At 38.1% G+C, this 20,267-nt stretch overlaps 1 protein-coding gene across 9 annotated transcripts in view; it reads right to left on the reverse strand.

Annotated features, from left to right (window-relative positions):
- SGMS1 (sphingomyelin synthase 1) overlaps positions 1–20,267 on the reverse strand; it is a 319,585-nt gene that overhangs the window by 155,049 nt on the left and 144,269 nt on the right. For 8 of the 9 annotated variants that reach the window (XR_007061953.1, XM_047424974.1, XM_047424973.1 and 5 more), the window contains 2 exons: positions 6,242–18,589; positions 25–166 (listed from right to left, as the gene is read on the reverse strand). The gene's annotated coding sequence lies outside the window, so the exon portion shown is untranslated. The remainder of the gene's footprint in view (positions 1–24; positions 167–6,241; positions 18,590–20,267) is intronic. The other variant, NM_147156.4, reaches the window with a different exon arrangement.

Genomic DNA, 20,267 nt, shown 5'->3' on the forward strand with positions numbered 1-20,267 from the left:
TCCAAGTTCTCCGTCAATACATACCTGCAACAGCCACTGTTTTGCATTTATCAACAGGTTCCTTTAAAAGTATTCTCAGGTACGCTTGCTGAGGCAGGTTCTCGTCTTCTATTTCATGTTTCCCAACCAGACACTTTCGGGCATCCCAAAGAACTCAATGGTGTGCCTGGGACAGAGAAGCAGTTTCAGTTTAAGCACTTCAAAACGGAATCACAAAATTCTAAAGCTGAGAGAGATTGTGTAAATTCAGTCCAGCTCACTATAAATAAAAGGATTAAAGTACTTATAAACTTGGAAACAAAGAATTCACAATGAACCTTCCTTACCTCCTCCCATTTTTTCTTTCTTTTCTAGCTTTTTAATTGTTGTATTTTTTACAGTAGTATAATATATACATATAATATAAAGCTTACTCCATCTTTTCTAATTAAAAGTTAAGTCTTAGGCCTATAACTATAAAAGGTGTTTCTCCTTTTATATATTTATCTACTATTTTTAGTTGCCAACAAATAACTGATTATCATAAATTAAGTATAAGTTTGAAGTTTCAGCTTCAAACTGAAAACAAAGGTAACTACTGAGTTATCATTTTTACAAGCTGATTTATAAAAGTGTCATGATCTCTCTGGGGCCAAAACATTACCCTCATAAGTAACAGCTTTTATAGTTATATATGTGTAAATGGTACACATTTCCTGGTAGCATAATCAGGAAGCTAGAGATAATGTCTTGTATTAAAGAACAAAGAGGGCTGTTCATTTAGTGCCTCATTTGTAGTAATTTGTACTTATATGTGAAAGAATATAGAATCTAATGGTAGTCAGAAAGGTAGTATATTTTAGTTCGATCATATTTAATTTCATCAGTAACATTTTCTTTTTTTTCCTGTGATAATCTATAAGAAGTAGGCTCTCAACCCTTTTCAGGATCATATAAGCCCTGCAGTATTGAGTATCTGATGAAAACTAAGCCTGTTCTATCCCTCCCCACTTAAATCTCAGGACAATCGTTAACTCCTTAAAGCTATCCCTGGACCCCAGGATAAAAATCATAGGTGCTCTCCAGCTGTCAAGCCGGAGAGCTGATACCTTGAGCCAACTAACAGGCTTAATTCTATAAAGAAACAATTCTTATAGAACAAAACAATCCACTACTCTCAATAGTCCCAAGGACTTACTTAGGACCAGGCATCCCTCCGTACCCTCCCAACTTTTAATCATACTTTATTCTATCTGTAAGAAATGGTGCTACATCTGTAAATAATCAAACATAGGTACAAAGAAAGCAGTTATCAACTGAAACAGCAATAAAATAAAACAAACAAAAACTAGGACTCTTTTGCCATTACATTAGCTTAAAAGTATTCAATTAAAGTTTCAGGCCGGGCATGGTGGCTCATGCCTATAATTGCAGCACTAGCCTAGGCAACAAAACGAGACCTCATATCTACAAAAAGAAAAAAAAATAACAATGCACAGTGGTGTGTGCCTGTATTCTCAGCTACTTGGGAGGATGAGGCAGGAGAATCACTTGAGCCCAGGAGGTTGAGGCTGCAGTGAGCTGATTGTGTCACTGCACTCCAGCCTGGGTGCCAGAGTGAGACCCTGTCTCAAAAAGAAAATTAATAAAGCTTTGAAGTAAAATATATTTATATAAAAGGGCACCATCTCCTAATACCAACATATGGTTTATAAACCCAAAGATAAAGTCAAAAGCTTAAAAAAGATTATACCTCAGGAAAGAGAGTATCATCTTAAATTCAAAACCTTACCAGGTCTCATATTACAGACAATAATCTCAGTCTATTTTGAATAATGAAATAATGTAACAAGTACACTTAATGCTAGCTTTCGATGCTTATGGGTCACTTGACAGAAACTGGCTAACAAGAAGGAAGCAAAGAAATAGAAACAATTATTTCTAGAGGTTGGATGTCACAATAGGAAATATGAGAAACCATTTTATAAAGTCCTTTTAAATATTATTTTAAAGAGCAATACAGATTTGGGGGTTATAGATGGCCAATGGAATAGGCCTATTTATCTCTGCTTCCTTCTAAATGCCCATCAAAATGTTAGTAAAAACGAAAAAAGATATAAATCCATAAGGACAAAAAGAATAGAAAACTATATTAGAGCAAACAATAGGCATCACTGATGTCTGGAAAGCGGAGATGACTGTGGAGTCGAGCAGAGCTGGTGGGAACCTCCCTGCCTGTGAAGCAAAAAGCCAGCTGACTGTGACAGAAATGCTTAGGAAATGATGGAGCTTCTGGTTCCTCAGAAGGGGAGTGGGGAAGACTGAAAAGATGGGGGTGGTGAAGTGTGTATTAAAAAAAAAGACCCTTACCCCACACCATAAATTAAAGTTAACTCAAGATGGACTAAACACCTAAAATTAAGACCTGAAACTATAAAATTCCTAGCAAAAAGAAAAAAAAATACATAGAGGAAATGCTTCATGACATTGGAGTTGGCAATGATTTTTTGGATATTACATCAAAAACACAGGTAAAAAGGAAACACAAAATAAGCAAATGGGACTACATCAAACTTAAAAACTAAAGGAAGTAATCAACCAAGTGAAAGGGCAACCCACAGAAAATATTTGTAAACCATATATCTGACAAAGTGTTAATATCCAGAATATATAAAGAATGCCCACAATTCAACAACAAAAAGCTAAATAATAATTAAAAATTGGCAAAGGACTTGAATGGACATTTCTCCAAAGAAGATATACAAATGGTCAATAAGTACATGAAAAGATGCTTAACATCCCTAATCATCAGGAAAATGCAAATCAAAACCACAATGAGATATCATCTCACACCCATTAGAATGACCACTATCAAAAACAAAAATAGAAAATAGCAAGTGTTGGCAAAGATGTGGAGAAGTTGATCGGAATATTGGTACACTGTTGGTGGGAATGTCAAATCGTACATCCACTATGGAATAAAGTCTGGCAGTTCCTGAAAACATTAAGAATAGAACTACTATATGATCCAGTAAGCTCACTTCTGGTATGCATCTGAAAGAATTGAAAGCAGGGTCTTGAAAAGATATTTGCAGACCCCTGTTCACTTAAGCACTACTCACAATAGTTAAGAGGTGGACGCAACCCACACATCCAATGGCAGATGAATAAAGAAAACATGGTATATACATACAATGGAATATTATTCAACCTTAAAAAGAAGGAAATCTTCTTATATACTGCAACATGGATGAACCCTGAGGACATTATGCAAAGTAAAACAAGTCAGTCACAAAAAGACAAATATTACATGATTCCACTTATATGAGGTATTTAAAGTAGCCACATTTACAGAAACAGAAGGTGGTTCGTAAGGTGGTTCGTAGTTGCCAGAGGCTGGGCAGGCAGGATAAAGGAGTGTTGCTGTTCAATGGGTATAGAGTTTCAGTTTTGCAACATAAAATGTTCTAGAGAGCTTTTGCACAACAATGTGTACATAGTTAACACTACTGTACACTTAAAATGGTTATATTTTATATTATGTGTTTTTTACCACAATAAAAACAAACAAGAGATTATCCTGGATTATCTGAATGGGCCTAATGTAATTACCAGGGTCCTTAAAAGTGGAAGTGGTAGACAGAAAAGGAAGTCAGAGTAATGCAATGTGAGACCATTTGACCACTGCTGACTTTAAAGATGGAAAAGGGCCAGGAGCCAAGAAATGCAGCCAGCAGCTAGAAGCTAAAAAATAAGAACAAGGAAAGGTACTCTCCCCCAGAGCCTCTGGAAAAGAGTGCAGCCTGTGGACACCTGTTTTGTTTTGCTACAGGGTCTCTCTGTCGCCCAGGCTGGAGTGCAGTGGCACAATCCCTGCTCACTGCAACCTCTGCCTCCAGGGTTCAAATGATTCTCATGCCTCAGCCTCCTGAGTAGCTGGGACTACAGGCATCCACCACCACATCTGGCTAATTTTTGTATTTTTTGGTAGAGACGGGGTTTCGCCATGTTGGCCAGGCTGGTCTTGAACTCCTGACTTCAAGTGATTTGCCCGCCTTGGCCTCCCAAAGTGCTGTGTTTACAGGCATGAGCCACTGCGCCTGGCCCGTTGATTTTAGCCCAGTGAGACCTGCATCAGTCTTCTGACCCACAAAACTGTAAGATGATAAATTTGTGTGGAACAAAGAAGGGGAGGAGGGAGGGAAGAAGGGAGAGAGGGAGGGAGTTAGAACCCCAGATCCTCTCCCTCACCTGGTAGAGCCAAACAAACCATCCCTACTCCTATAAGAAGGGGCAGTTTGCCCTCTGGAGAAAATGATACAGCAACACTTCAAACCTAGACTCCAGATAAGGCTGAAACGAAAGCATTGGATCTAGGCATTCTCAGGCTTGGATGGTGAGATCTCTGGCTCCCTTCCTCCTCACTCCTCTGTGGTGCCCCTTAATCCTCATAGGTAGGCTTACACTCCACAAAAAAAGTAAACAAAGAATTCCATTTTGGAGAAACTGAAAGGTCCAAGGAAAAAAATCTGCAGATTTTGATACATGATAATCACCCACTGAAATGGCCAGTAAGGTCTCTGCCCAAAGACCTTAGAGTGAAGCCAACCACGTAACAAATTTGCGGTCCATTTTGTATTGTCTCACTCTTAAGTATGAACAGACAACTAAATCCCCAGCACTCATTTGGGAAGAGCCTTTAACATTAAAATCAGGGATCAAAACAAGAAGATAAAGGGAACACACAGGAAAATGTGCAAAGAACAGCAAAAAACAGCAAAATAATTCAATTCATATTCTCAAAAAAAAATGAGAAAATATTGCATCTATCAAACAAAAACAGGATCCTAATTTTAAAAACAAAATATCCATAGACCCTCAAAAATTAAGTTCAAAATTACAAACCTGCTAGCAGAAATTAAAAATTCAATTGATACTAAGAAAACCTCTCAGAAAGTTGAAGAAAAACACAGAAAGATGGAAAATAGCTAAGAGTAAGACTTAAGAAAATTAGAGATCAAACTAGTAGGTGAAAATACCCAACTAACAGACTAAGAAAAGAGAGAATGGGGGGGAAATTATCAAAGAAATAGTACAAGAAAATTTACAAATTGAGAGACATCAGTTTCCAAGCTGAGAGGACAAAAACAACAAAAAGTGTCCCAATATGAAACTGCAGAATTCTGGGCATAAAGAAAAGCATGAAACATTTTCCAGAGACAAAAAAAAAACAGTTCACAAACAACCAACTTGGAGGCAGAATGACTTGAGACATCTCAACTTATATCACAGAGCTCAGCCACAAAAAAAATAATAAAGTAGACATTAATACTTATCTAAATATAGACTGTAACAATGACTGCATCAAGAAAATAAAGAGACAGGAAAAGTAGGTATGTAGTAAGGGTAAAGGGTGGTCTATGAGAGAGAACTCCCCGGCAGGAAATCAATGCATAAGTCTAAGATTTTAAAAGGAATCAGTAAATGGCACTTAGAGCATATGATGTGTTGTTTAGAAATAGGTAGACAAATACTGGAAAATACAACTAAAAGGATTGAAAAGGGCTATCTTTAGGCAAAGGGGCAATAAGAGTATAAAAAGAACAAAGAATGGCTATTAGAGTACTATTTGAATTCTTAAACAATATACATGCAATTACCTCTAAACAAATAAAATAAATAAATGAAAGGAAAGAAGGAAGGAAGGAAAGGAGGGAGGAAGGGAGAAAGACTTAAGAAAGCAGTTCTACAAATTGTTACACAGTAGAGATCTTCAATGTTCATCTACACAGAAAGAATGAAAACAGCAACTGTCCTAACATTATGCAAATGATTACTTGTGGCTTGGGATAAAATTTCCAAATAGAGTGCCATACATAGACTCCAAAAGTGCTGTACTGCAAACACCTAAAATGATAACAGGCTGTGGAAAATAATATTGAATGCTTAAAAAATGTGACTCAAATAATGAAGACACTGATGTCAGATATGTATGTAAAGAGTTGGAAGAAAATTATTCTGGGGTAGGAAAAAAGCATTAGTTATAATATCCCATTTTGTATAAATACATACTTGTTCAAAATATGTACATAACTAAATTAATTAAATGGTAATATGTATTTGACTATTTCATCTATATCCCCAAGATATTCCTTATATATTCCAATTGCCCACAAAAATTGTTTGTTTAGATCCTCTCATTGGGAGAACACAGAAAATACAAATTAAGCATAAAAGGTAAATAATTTAAAAATCAGTTTACCTGAATCATGCTGTTATTTTTCTTCATCAGTCTTCTTTCCAATCTAGAAGAAGTAATAAGTAAATTAAAGTGCATTCTTTGTGCAATGAGCTGCTTATAAGAAAAAAAACTAAAATCCAAGTTAACTATTATTCACTTCTTGTTACGTATACATAGGAAAAAAAAAGCATTATTTCACCAATTCCCAACTAATTTCTGGCTGTCATGGTATTCAGAGTACACTTCTATTAGACAACGCCAAGCAGAAACAAGCATGCAAATCCAATGCCAATAAAAAAACTGCACACCAAATGCATCTGATGGTATAACATGAGTTTTAAAACCATGGACCTTTATAAATTATCTCCTCTCAATTTAGGTAAATAACTGCTAACTGACAATATAAAAAAGATAAAGAAGCAAGAAAGCGTATTTTTCAAACCATAATAATTACCACCCTGGGATAAATTTTCATTTTTACCAAAATGCAATCAATAGCAAGTTAAGTGGAACAACCACAGACCACATACATAAGTGTATGATCAAACAGCTTATAAATAACTCTAACCCACATCACCCTAAAGGCTTAAAAATGCTTCCATGTTTTATTTCATGAAAGACTTTCTCAGCTAAAAATGAAATATGACCCTTTGTAAGTAAAATATACACATGAATTAGGGTACATGCAGAAAGGGGAAAAAGCCTATTTTTTAAAAAATTAGTAAGCCCAGAAATCTTGGGTGGCTTAATAAATTTTCTTAAAGTGAACACCACTCTCCCAAAAAGTCAACACTGCCCTGCCTTCAAATAGCACACATTAGTTTTGCCTGTTGGGCTAGGTATAATTATTTAGGGATCTGTCTGGGAGTCTAAGAATCCCTGTATCTGGACAAAAATAAAATGCTTTAAGGAAAGGGGAGCAAGTAGTGGCTGACTGCAAAGTGGTATTATTTCAGAAAGATGTTAACATGTCTGAGGAAAAAGTTTTGGCTGATTAGTTGATTGTATGAGGTCAATCTGCCAGTTCTCCAGAGACCAAAGGACAGAGAAGCAGTTTATGATAGAAACAGAAGGGGAAGGGCCTTCCTGTTGTCCAGGAGGAATGGACTTCTGGGAATAAGATGGGAGAAGGCAGGAGCAGAGGGGAGAGAAGGGAGTGGGGAGGGACGGTGGCCTTCTTTCTATAGGTACAGAAATACCTATAAAGATAGTAAACAAGCTAGTCTGTGCTAGAAGCTAGATGAAATTACTAATGCATGATCTCGCTTAATCTTCCAATTCCTATGAAGCCTGTTTTGCTATCCCCAGTTGACAGATACCAATACTGAGTCTCAAATCACCAATATGGTGTCTGATGTAAACAGTTAGTGGGTGAAATAAAGCTATTCCTCTTTACAGCTTGAATGCAGGGCTAGATTTGCCATCAACAAAAAGAGAGAGATTCATGAAAATGAAGCCTTATAATTAGATACAGAATATGCTGTTTTGTCCCTGCCCATAAATCATTTAAAGGAAAAGAATCAAGTTATTCAGGACCTGAGAAGTCTTCTGAATTACCAGAAAGTGAAATAGTTTTGTCACTTGTAAAGTAAGCCCACGTTATCTTTTTGTACATCAAAGAAGTTTCAAAAGAAACTAAATTTCATAAGGGATAATTTTCTGACACGTTAACTGGTTTTATGGCACTGTGTGCTTTCCCACTGTAACGGGAGAACTCAGAAGAACAGTGTCCCTCAGAGATAGCCACAGATGCAAAGGGCAAATTACCACCAGATAATTATTGAAGAACCCATGACAGTGTCATCTTCAAATGGCATGCCACACCTGCATGAATATTTAATTTCTATCACAAGTACTTTCAAAAAGCAGGGGCCAAAATAGGAACATAGTTGAAAAAGGGCACTTTCCATTCTGGCATTTGACAGGAAGAAAATAAAATATCTACCTTTTAAGGCAATATGTAATATATCAAAGACATGTAGCTAAAAAGATCTTCCTACATCCTCACTGGTGAACACAAAGTAGTATCTCAGTGACAATAAATGATCATCAGACATCATGATATGCCTTTACACTTAACCCCACAAGAACCCTATGTGTGTGTGTTGGGTAAAGGGTGGAGGGTGAAGGGCTTAGAATCCCCAACTTAACCAGATGAAGACATTAGGCTCATAACAGAGGTTATGTTGTAACTTGTCCAAGGTTGCAAATTTGTCCAAGGTCAAACTTTGAGGAAATGGGAAAGGGTTCCAAATTACGTGTCGGATACCTTTAGGCTATTGTGTTGACCATAACAGCTCTGCCTTAATGATGAACATACTTGAATTTGTTTTTCAATCAAAATCATCTAGTGATTCATTCACTATTTTCCAGTTTCAAATTGCTTTTGCTATCTTCCCAAGTAAAGGATCTTGACACTCCTTCCTCCTGTGAGATGGAGTAAGTATTCTGTCAGTGAGTGGCTTGAGAAGGTCTAGAGGGACTCTTTTTAGGATAGCTGCTAAAGCCTCTGAGAGCACCCTGGTGATCTTCCTTTTATGGGATCTAGCACATGGAATGCATAGTAAAAGCTGCAGGCTTGATTTTTCAGTGGACATATGCCATGAAGATACAATGCAAAAAGTTCTTTCTGGGACTCTATGAGTAAGCAAGTTAACAATGCATGCCATACACAGCAAATCATCTAAGGAAAAAAATTACCCAAATTATACTTAAAAGGCTGTGGCTCTAAACTTTCAATTTAGGATGGAGCAAAGTACGGCATGAGTCTTTGTAGACATTAACCTAATGACATTCAGAATACTGGTGGTGGGGGGAGTGTGGTACAGAATAAGGTACTCTTCCCCTATTCAATAATTCTGGTATAGCAATACTCGAACTCCTATGTGTTTACTACTGGTGACTTCCTCTCAAGGAAAACACACTGGAGTAAGAGAAGGTTCAGAGGGTAAAAAGGAATGGGCATATGAACCAAGGTTGTGGAAAGAAAAGATTAAAGTTCACAAAATTCTGCAAGGCATTGGCAAGCTCCCACTTTACAAGTTTACATTTATAGGGCCAACCCTTTTAAAACTTATTACTTCCTCTTAGATTGTGGGGGGCAGTGGTTTCATTCTGGGGCCAATCTGATTGATCAACAGGCAGTGGTTTCCTGAAGCAACACCGAAAGACAGTGCCCAAATCAACTGCCATTGTCTGCTATGGACACACGATGTGGAAATTGCAGCAGGCATGCTTCGTTTTTGGCAGCCCTGTCCCACACCCTATTATTAGAGTTCAGTAGTCAATTCTCAGGGGAAAGATGGTGTGTAATAAGAAATAAATAATATAGAGAGACCAGGAAGAGCACTCCATTAAAACTGCATTTTATTAGAGTAGTAAAAAGTACTGAAAACTTTCTCATTCTTACTTGTAAACAGCATGTTTTGCAAATTAGAGCCTGGCTTAAGAGAATACAAAATCTAAAGTAGAAAGTTTGTGTTTTCTTCCTTTATACAATGTTAGTGTTTTCTTCCTTTAATATCTAACTTTCAATAAACAGAGTTTAACTGAACCTTTTCTTCCTTTCTTCTGCTTGGAGGAGAACCTTTACTCTCTCTCACACAGGATCCTGCTGCTGTCAAAAAGCCCCAGGCATGGTCTCTAGCTTTGGTGACTGAAGGTTGCAAGTCTCTTGCTGCAGTCACCCTCAAAGCTTCTTCCTGCCAGCAGCTGGTATCACTGGTAGCTCTCTTCACAAGGGAGGACTTTCCACTACACTTAAGGAAAGACTTAATCTTCCCTTCACTACACTATATTCTTACCTTTTCTAGATTAAAAGAGTAATGCAAAGGGTAAAGCCCTTCCTCAAATTTTGCCTCAATTTACAGCCAAGCATGATTGTCTTGGGCAAGTTACAGAGCTCCTCTCTCAAAACTGCTGGCTGAGATGTAAGAGAAAACAAAAAATAAAAAAGACCATCCATTAACTACCCTGGGAGTTCAGCAACTTCCAAACTGGCCTCTCAAACCGGTTTCCCTTTTCCTGTAAAACGCATTTGCATAGAGGAGTTTAGAATAACAGGTTCACCTAGAAGGAAAGAACAGACTTACACATTGCAATCTACTAAAAATGTGGGAGCTGAATCAGGGATTTAATGAGGCATAAAAATTCCCAAGAAATATACCACATGCCCTTAAGGAAGTAGTTACTAAAAAAAGATGATAAAGAGTGAAAGCAACTATGCTCCAGGCAATGGTGAGATAGGTTCATGGGAACAAAGCAAAACTGGTAAAAGACTGGAAACTAAACCAGTTTTAAGCATGACCTCAAAACAAACAACATCTCCTCTCACCTTCCCAGAAAGAGTGACCAAGTGCCTTTGCTTAATGCTGCAGAAAAGAAGAGGTACTTTATCCCTTCATTCGGCAAACATTTATTGAGCATGAAGGTGGGATTATATAGAGATGAAAGAGCAGCTTCCCTGAAGGAGCTCAGTTTAGCAAGGAGAAAAAAACCACGTAAATCAGTATTTACATTTCTATGTGGTACCAGGGAGTCATAACACCGAGCTAAAGCACAACATCAACCAACACAACCACTTCCATGGTAGGGGCCAGACACAATTCTAAATTTTTAGGTAACTCATTTGAATCTTTGAAACAAGTCTATGAGACGCAAACACTTTTCCTGGTTTACTGGTGGAATTAGTGTGTATGAGATATAAAAAAGGATCTTTTAAACACAAAGACTTTATTCAAATTAAATCTTCAAATTATGCCTCCCTCCCCAAATACAAATCTCAATCCCTGTTTTAGCCTTTGCAGGTTGCCCAGCAGTATCTGAGGTTCCTAGAACTCTCACTGAGAAATTCACAAATTGAAGAAATAATTTCCTAACATCACAGGACTTGTTATCAAGGGCCACATCAGTAATGCCCTGCCTCCAGTAGAGCATTACTAAAACCAAACAAAATGAGAGCAGTTTTGTTTGTTTTTAAATCCTTACCCACAGATATACCAAAATAATCTTCTACATTATTTAATCCTAGCTTCTTCGCGGGCAAGAGCCACATTATCTCTGTGCTTAATGAGTTCTCAGTACATAAGACAGACATTGGTTCGCACCCAGTAAAATCATATTATATTTGTGTTACCAATTAAATCAAATCATTCTTCTCAGTTATTGTCAAGACCACCTTTACTTTCTATATTTATTCATTATTTTCTTTTTTAATTTTCTTTTTATTTGACAGATAATTGTATATATTTATGGAGTATAATGTGATGTATTTTGATATATGTTTACAATGTGGAAAGATTAAATCAGGCTAACACATCTATCACCTCACATACTTATTTTTTATAGTGAAAACATGTAAAACCTATTCTTATAGCAATTTTGAAATCTATGATGCATTATTTATTAATATTACAGTCATCATTCCTTACAGTAGATTTCTTGAACTTATTCCTCCAATTTATCTCTCCATCCCCTTCTCCCCTTTAAACATCCCAGCCTCTGGTAACCACCATTCTACCCTCTACTTCTATGAGTTTGACTTTTCAAGAATCTACATATATGTGAGATCATGCAGTAACATAATGTCCTCCAGGTTCATCCATGTTGTTGCAAATGACAGAATTATCTCTATCCTGCCCCTACTTTTTAAAGGGTGAATAGTATTGCATAGTGTGTATATGCCATATTTTCTTTATCCATTCATCTGATAATGGACTCCTAGGTTGTTTCCATATCTGAGCTATTGTGAATAAGGACACAATAAACATGGGAGTGCACATATCTCTTCTACATTCAGATCAAATTTCTTTGGATACATTTTTAGAAGTGAGATTACTGAACTGTATGCTAATTCTATTTTCGGTTTTCTGACAAATCTCCATACTGGTTTCCATGATGATTGTATTAATTTTCATTCCCACCAAAAGTGCACAGGGGTTCCCTTTTCTCCACACTAGTCATTATTTTCAAGACTAGACTACTACCCATCCTCAGAAGAGTTATTCATTGCTAGGTATTTGCTCCTGCAGTTCCCTGTAATGCCCTTCCTCTATCCTGCTCCCCACACTGTTAATCCATTCCCATCACCTGGCTTAGAAAGAACAATGGAAATATGATCTAGTAAAATCTGAATTAGGAATTAGGTAATTACCACCACACTATATTAGAACATAATACAATTTCCATTAAAACTGTCTTCACACAGTCTTATTCCACTACCAACATGTTTAACTAAAGTAGTACTAACATGTTTAGTTTAACTAACTAAAACTGTTAATGCTTAAAAAAAAATAGTTCTCTACACTGTGTTTAATCTACTGTAGTCCAAGCAGCCTCTGTCTGGAACAGTAATACTCTCTCCCTAATAGTCAGAAAGTCCCACAAGCATGGGTTATGTCATATCTCAAATATACAGTATATAATCCAGCAATTTAATAAATATTTTTAAAACTAAATGCCTTGCCTTTTGAACCTGGATTCTTTTTAGATATGGAGAATAAATATCTATTGAAAATTAAAGGAATTCATAGAACAATGAGACTTTCTTAATTTCCTTTTAAAATACTTTGAAGGAACATTATGGCTTCAAAAGAAAAGTCAACATGAATTGTCAAAACCAAGCTATCATAATAAACTTTCCAAGTCTCAAAACCTGTCTCTGTGTTTCTAAAAGAAGCAAAATTTAGCAAGCAAATAAGAATAAAATGGACTAATAAAAAACTTCGAGTTTACTCCAATATAGAAACAGACTAAAATATAAAACCAAATTACAATGCAGATAACAGGAAATGTTTTTAACCAAGAATAAACTAATATATTCAAACCAGATTTGTAGTAGACATATTTCAGGGAATCTGTTCACCCACTCCCATTTCTGGGGGACTCTGCCATATTCTCAGGCCCAGTTGTCTTTCGATTGCCATCTTATATCACCTGACACAACTCCACAAGCACACAGCCATAGCTGATTGGACCCGAAAGAACACTTGACCCAAAGAGAGCCATTCAGAAGCTGGCCAGAAGCCTAGGGCTTGGGTTTGATTACTTGCTAAAATGATGAACTCAGCCAATCAGTTTTGCTGCTGCAGGAACTAGAATCAAGAAACCCTAAAGGAACTTGCCAGTTAGATGTCATGGTGAAAGGTCAAGAGGAACACTTAAGCTCAGGACAATCATCATGGGCCAAGTCTGCCACAGAAAGCAAGTACTGGACTGAAGCCAGTTCCCAACCTGAGGTCTCAGGAGATCTATATCTTGAACCCTTTTGTTGAGTGAGAGTGACCTGGTTTTTGCAACCAAAAGACAGAGCTTATGATAGCAACCTAAGTTAAAATCTTATATCAAGACCTACCACTGACATATTTAGTAAGGATAAAACCACCTTCTTTTAGATAATTAGAGGAAACAGCTTACATCACTTAGTAAGAAATCTGAAGTCAGGTTTTTTGTTTGTTTTGTTTTTAAAGGAGTTTTATTATTTTCAACTTGTCTCCTCTGGAATTCTGGTTCTTCACCTATAAGGTGAGGTCTGTTTATTAGACCCTCTCTCTAAGTTCTCTTGCATGGTTTATAATCTCAGTACAGGCACCCTGAGACAAAGGAAGCCTCTCTGTGGGCAGTGTTTGGACAGTGGTGGAAAACATTCTTCATTACCTTGGCTGTCACATGATGAATTCTCATTCTATTAAATTCATAATTAGAACTAACAAATTTTTCTATAAAAATTCTTAAGATGAGTCAGTTCATAGGCTATCTCATTTTAGGCATAGGTACACAGAATATTAGAATTTTTCATACTGTTGATTGTTCTATTTTTCATTTAAAATATTTACTTATACTCAATGCCCTGCCTCTCCCTTAAAAACAAAACAGAACAAAACAAAACAAAACAAAACAAAAACTAAGAAGCAGAGAGAGTGCTATCCATTTAGTCATTAGAGGAAATACTTAGATCAGAAATGATGCTACAACCTTAACCATACATTTTCAATACTGCACTTTGGGGAGCAGGGGGCATGATAACAAAATAAGATATTGGATATATAAATATTCTTATTATTCAGGCTTTAACATAAATTAAAAGAGCATTTATCTCAGAGTCTGAAACTGTGAGTATTCAATGAATAAAACTGCTCCAAAAGCATTTTTTTAAATATCAGAAAAACTGTCCAAGACTGAGAAATGGGAAAAAGAGATTCCTGGGTATGTTTCCAGAATATCCAAGTCAATAAGGCTATGCACTTTTGACTAACTTTCCATTTCACTGTCAGTAATTACAAATAATTCTTGTCCATAGCAATGTAAATAAATGTTGTCCGGTAGAGATATGATTGATATCTACCTGGAAGAAAAGATAACCCCAAACATTACATTTTATTGCTCTATGGATATTAACCAATTTTGTTACATATTGATACATTTATTTCAGCATTCCTGGGGGTGGTTTCAGTTTCTCAAATTTGCCTTTAATTCATCTCAGTTAATTCCCTCATTAACTGAACTGAATGAACCTTTGATATACGTTCATTTTATGTCTGCATGCAATATGCTTTTAACTTTTCAAAAATTACTCTTTAGCAGTAACAGTCCATTTTAAAAATTAGTCCATTACAACATCTAGAAAGGTATTTGTTGTTCACAATAAATGGTAAATATATAACTCATCAGGCTATGAATAACTGGTCCATGTTATTTGGAAGCCAGGTTGATATAGTTTGGCTCTGTGTCCCTACCCAAATCTCATGTTGAATTGTACAATTTTGGACGTGGGGCCTGGTGGTAGGTGACTGGATCATGGGAGTAGTTTCTAATAGTTTAGCAACGTCCCCCTAGTGCAATCTCATGACAGAGTTCTTACCAGATCTGCTTGTTAAAAAGTGTGTAGCATCTCCCCAACCATTCTCCTGTCAACCATGTAAAGATGTGCCTGCTACCCCTTCACCTTCCACCATGATTGTTAAATTTCCTTAGGCCTCCCCAGAAGCAGAAGCCTGTACAGCCTGCATAACTTTGAGCCAATTGAACCTCATTTCTGTATAAATTACTCAGTCTCAGGTAGTTCTTTATAGCAGTACAAGAACAGACTAATACAGAAAGTAGGGGATGGGTGCAGTGGCTCACACCTTGTAATCCCAGCATTTTGGGTAGCCGAGGCAGTCGGATCACCTGAGGTCAGGAGTCCGAGACCAGCCTGGCCAACACTGTAAAATCTTGTCTTTACTAAAAATACAAAAAAAAAAAAAAAAAAAAAAAAAAATTAGCCAGGCATGGTGGCGTGTGCCTATAATCTGAGCTACTTAGGAGGGTGAGGCAGGAGAGTCATTTGAACTCAGGAGGCATAGGTCGCAGTGAGCCAAGATCGTGCCACTGCACTCCAGTCTGGGCAACAGAGCAAGACTCTGTCTCAAAATAAAAAAGGGAAGGGAAGGGAGGGGAGGGGAGGGGGAGGGAGAGAGGAGGGGAGGGGAGGGAAGGGAAGGGAACTGTTATAAGAGAAGCAGGGCACTGCTATAAAGATACCCAAAAATGTGGAAGCAACTTTGAAACTGGGTAACAGGCAGAGGTTAGAACAGTTTGCAGGGCTCATAAGAAGACAGGAAAGACATGGTAGAAAAGAAAAACCCATTTTCTGAGGAGAAATTCAAGCCAGCTGCAGAAATTTGTGTAAGTAAAGAGGAGCTGAACGTTAATAGCCAACACAACAGGGAAAATGCCTCCAATGCACTTCAGAGACCTTTGTGGCAGTCTCTCCCATCACAGGCCAGGAGGTCTAGGAGGGAAAAATACTTTTGTGGGCCAGGCCTAGGACACCACTGCGCTGGGCAGCATCAGGTCATGGCTCCTTGCATCCCAGCCACTCCAGCTCTAGCCATGACTAAAAAGGTCCAGATAAGTCTCAGGCCACTGCTCCAGAGGGTGCAAGCCAGAAGCCAACAAGGCTTCCATGTGGTGTTAAACCTGCAGGTGCACAAAGGTCAAAAGTTGAGGCTTGAGGGCTTCCACCTAGATTTCAGACATTATATGGAAACATCTGGATGTCCAGACAGAAGTCTGCTGCAGGGGCAAAGCCCTCATGGAGAACCTCTACTAGGGTAGTGCAGAGGGGAAATGTAGGGTTGGAGCCCCCACACAGAGTCCCTACTGGGGTACTGCCTAGTGGAGCTGCAAGAGGAGGGCTGCCTTCCTCCAGACCCCAGAATAGTAGATCCACCAACAGCTTGCATCATGCACCTGGAAAAGTTGCAGGCACTCTATGCCAGTCTATGAAAGCAGCCATGAGGGCTGAGCCCTGCAGAGCCACAAGAGTGGAGCTGCCCAAAGCTTGGAAGTCCATGCCTGGCATCAGTGTGGCCTGGATGTGAGATACAGAGGCAAAGGAGATTATTTTGCAGCTTTAAGATTTAATGACTACCCTGCTGGGTTTCAGACTTGCATGGGGCCTATAGGCCCTCTGTTTTGGCCAATTTCTTCCTTTTGGAATGGGGGCATATACCCAATGCCTGTACTCCCATTGTATGTTGGAATTAACTAACTTGTTTTTTATTTTACAGGCTCATAGGTGAAAGGGACTTGCCTTGTCTCAGATGAGACTTTGGACCTGGACTTTTGGTTAATGCTGGAATTAGTTAGGACTTTGGGGGATGGTTGGGAGGGCATGATCGTGTTTTGAAATGTGAGAAGGACATGAGATTCGGGAGGAGCCAGGGGCAGAATGATATGCTTTGGCTATGTGTCCCCACCCAAATCTCATGCTGAATTTTAATTCCCAGTGTTGGAGGTGGGGCCTGGTGGGAAGTGGTTGGATCATGGGTGTGGTTTCTAATGGTTTAGCACCATCTCCCTAGTGCTGTCTCATGATAGAGTTCTCACAAGATCTGCTTGCTAAAACATGTGTAGTACCTCCTCCCACTCTCTCTTTCCCTTCCCAGCCATGTGAAGATGTGCCTGATCCCTTTCCTTCTGCCACGATTGTAAGTTTCCTAAGGCCTCCCCAGAAGCAGAAGCCTGTACATCCAACAAAACTGTGAGCTGATTAAACCTCTTTTCTTTATAAATTAGTCTCCAGTAGTTCTTTACAGCAGTGTGAGGGCAGGCTAATACATAGATCATGCAAATCAGACAGAGTGATACAGATGGTAATGAACAAATGGCAATGACATAACAATTTCACTTGTAAAGCAAGTTACATTCCCAGTCTGTTACGTACATCAGTGGGTAACAACTGATGGACAGCCTTGAATTCCAACTGCATAGATGTATGTCATGAATCTGCTTCTTAACAGATATAATATAAATAAAATCCAAGTAAATGCATGTAGAAGATGGTACATGTGTGTAAAAACATAGCTAAAAACACAGTCAGATCCACACAATGAAGACAGCTGGAACACATAACCAAGAAAGTAAAGGGATCCCATCTACTAAGAAATAAAATATTTTTGTCCCCAATATAATGGCCTTATCCTTAGTTTTCTGAACTAAATAGCTATACCTCTAAATTAGCAAAGTAACACATGTATTTGTAAGCAAAAATTTCTAAATCCTTAAAACCTTTCAACTCCCCAGAATAGGGGCTTAGGATTCTCTACCTATCTATCCCTTGATAAGACTTCTTTAAAGGACATATTGTAGACATTAACAAAAAAAATAGAGCCAAATGATTTCTCTTTACAGGGTCAGTGAGTAGGAGGTTAATTGTACCATCCATTTTTGTAAATGTTATAAGAAAACCTATCAACTGAAAATCAACAGAGGAGTTTTTTAATATAAGTAACCTGATGCATAAAAATACATTTACACAAAGGATTTACACAGCAGAAATCATAAAGATTCTTGCAAGTAAAAGTCTCCTACTGAGATTAAAAATAGGAATTTATTTTTGTATTTTACAAAAATGTCATTTAAACACAATTTTTCAAAGCTACAACAATCGATTCAATTAGGAAACCATTTCAAGCTTCACACAAATGTAAAATTGCCCCTGTTGTAACCACATAGTGTACTTAGATTTGGGGAATTAAAGATTTCATGTTACTCCCATACAAGGTACAGGAACCACCTTGATCAGTAAGATCAGTCCCCTCTTTCTCCCATTCAGTTTCCAACCTTTCTTTTCAGGGGCCATCCACCCCCCAACCAGTTCCTAGATGCCAGTCACATTCCATTAAAAACCCTTCTTTGTCTGCAGTTACCTTTGGTTCTTTGCTCCAGAATTTCTCCAGCCTTAAATATGTTAATGAGTATAGTGAATTTCCAGTAATGCACCATCTTTTGCTCTCCAGAACTCCAAGGACTACATCTTAGAAATTAATGTCCTAGTGAAACTGATTCACTTAGCTTGGCTCTTGGGTTCTCTCCATTGGATGTATTCTTCAGCCAAAAGATAAGTGTCCATCCAGGCCAGCAATATGCAGAGACAAAGAGGACCTTACTAGCAAGTATGATCTAAGGTGCCCAAGAATCATTCATGCACTAACTCACTGCCCTAATGTCCTAGATTTGCATGATTAAAGTAGTAACAACTATGGGCTACCAAGCATTGTGTCCCTTAGGAGTCCCAAGGCAAAACAGAAATCTAGCAAAACTCTTGGATATTGAACAATATATTGGAGATTAACTGTCGAGTTAACAGAAAAGTGACTTTCTGAGCTAAATTTTTTATATTCTCCTTTAGTAAGTGAAAATCTTTCTGAACCGCATTATATTTTTTTCTTACTTTTCCCATGTTTGCAAAAGTAATAGATTTCATTGACAAATATTTAGAAAATAAAGACACACACAGGCAACAAAAATTACAAATAATTTGTAATTTGCCCTTGGTCAAAAGCACTTACATTTTGAAACATTTCTTACTGGTCTCTTTTAGCACACCACCAAGGGAAAATCTTTGATTCACTGATGTATATATATTTTTTATATATACATCATTATATGGATACATCCTTTAATGGATGTATGGATATTTCTCATAGATAAAAGAGCAACACCACAAGTATTTCTTGATTTCTACAACTGAAGTACATCTTAGAAGGAATCTATTTCTTTTCTAAAATCATATAATAATTTATGGGCCCATGAGGAGTATGCCATTTAAAGGGCTCTAATTAGGAATATTTTTGTAAAACTCATTTCATTAATTATCTTTCTTTTATATCCCTCCAGCCTTTTACATTCTATTAGTTCTTCTTTCTCATCAAACAGACTTATTTATGACATTTTCAACCTAAAACAAAGAAAGAAGGATGAACGTCTATAGTATACAGGAACATAACTCATGCAGTGAGTACTACATGAGAGGATACCTCACAGGAGAGTACCTCACCCACACCCACACTGGTAGTTCAGCAAAAGCTTTCTGGTTTTGGTCCACATGGTCCACATGACATTGAGCTAGGTCTTAAAGAAAACGAGAGTATTAAGCAGTCACTGATGTATATCTTAAGCACCAAGAATATCCTGGCAGTTAGTGCTAAATAAATGCTTACTTGGTTGCTTAGAAGCAGCTGTGGACAGCAGCTCCCACCAAGCAGAATGAAAACGGCGAATGAATCCTGCACCTTCAACTGAGGTATCCAGATTCTCTCACTGGGACTGACTAGGTAGTTGGTGTACCATGGAGAGTGAGGAAAAGCAGGGTGGAGCCATGGCACACCCAGGAGCTGCACAGGGCAAGGGGAACTCCCAACCCCAGCCAGGGGAGGCATTAAGTGATTGTGCTACCCTGCCCAGGAAACCATGCTCTTTCCATAGATCTGTGCAACCGTGGATCTGGAGATACCCTCGTGAGCCCATATCACCAAGGCCTTGAGTCCCAAACACAGAGCTGTGCAGACTTTCAGTGGCCTCTTGGTTTGTGGCCAGTGGCAGCAGGCTGAAGGCTACCTAAGATGACTGAGTTCCTGTCGGGGGGCGGGGGCAGCCACCATCACTGAGGCCCTAGTCAGCTGTTTTCCCCTGCCAGTGCTAAAGAGACTGGGCAGTTTGGACCAAGAGGAATTCCCCACAGCACCGCACAGTGGCTGTGGCAGATCATGGCCAGACTGCTTCT

Source organism: Homo sapiens, chromosome 10 (genome assembly GCF_000001405.40).
Source record: "Homo sapiens chromosome 10, GRCh38.p14 Primary Assembly".
Taxonomy (NCBI): Eukaryota; Metazoa; Chordata; class Mammalia; order Primates; family Hominidae; genus Homo; species Homo sapiens.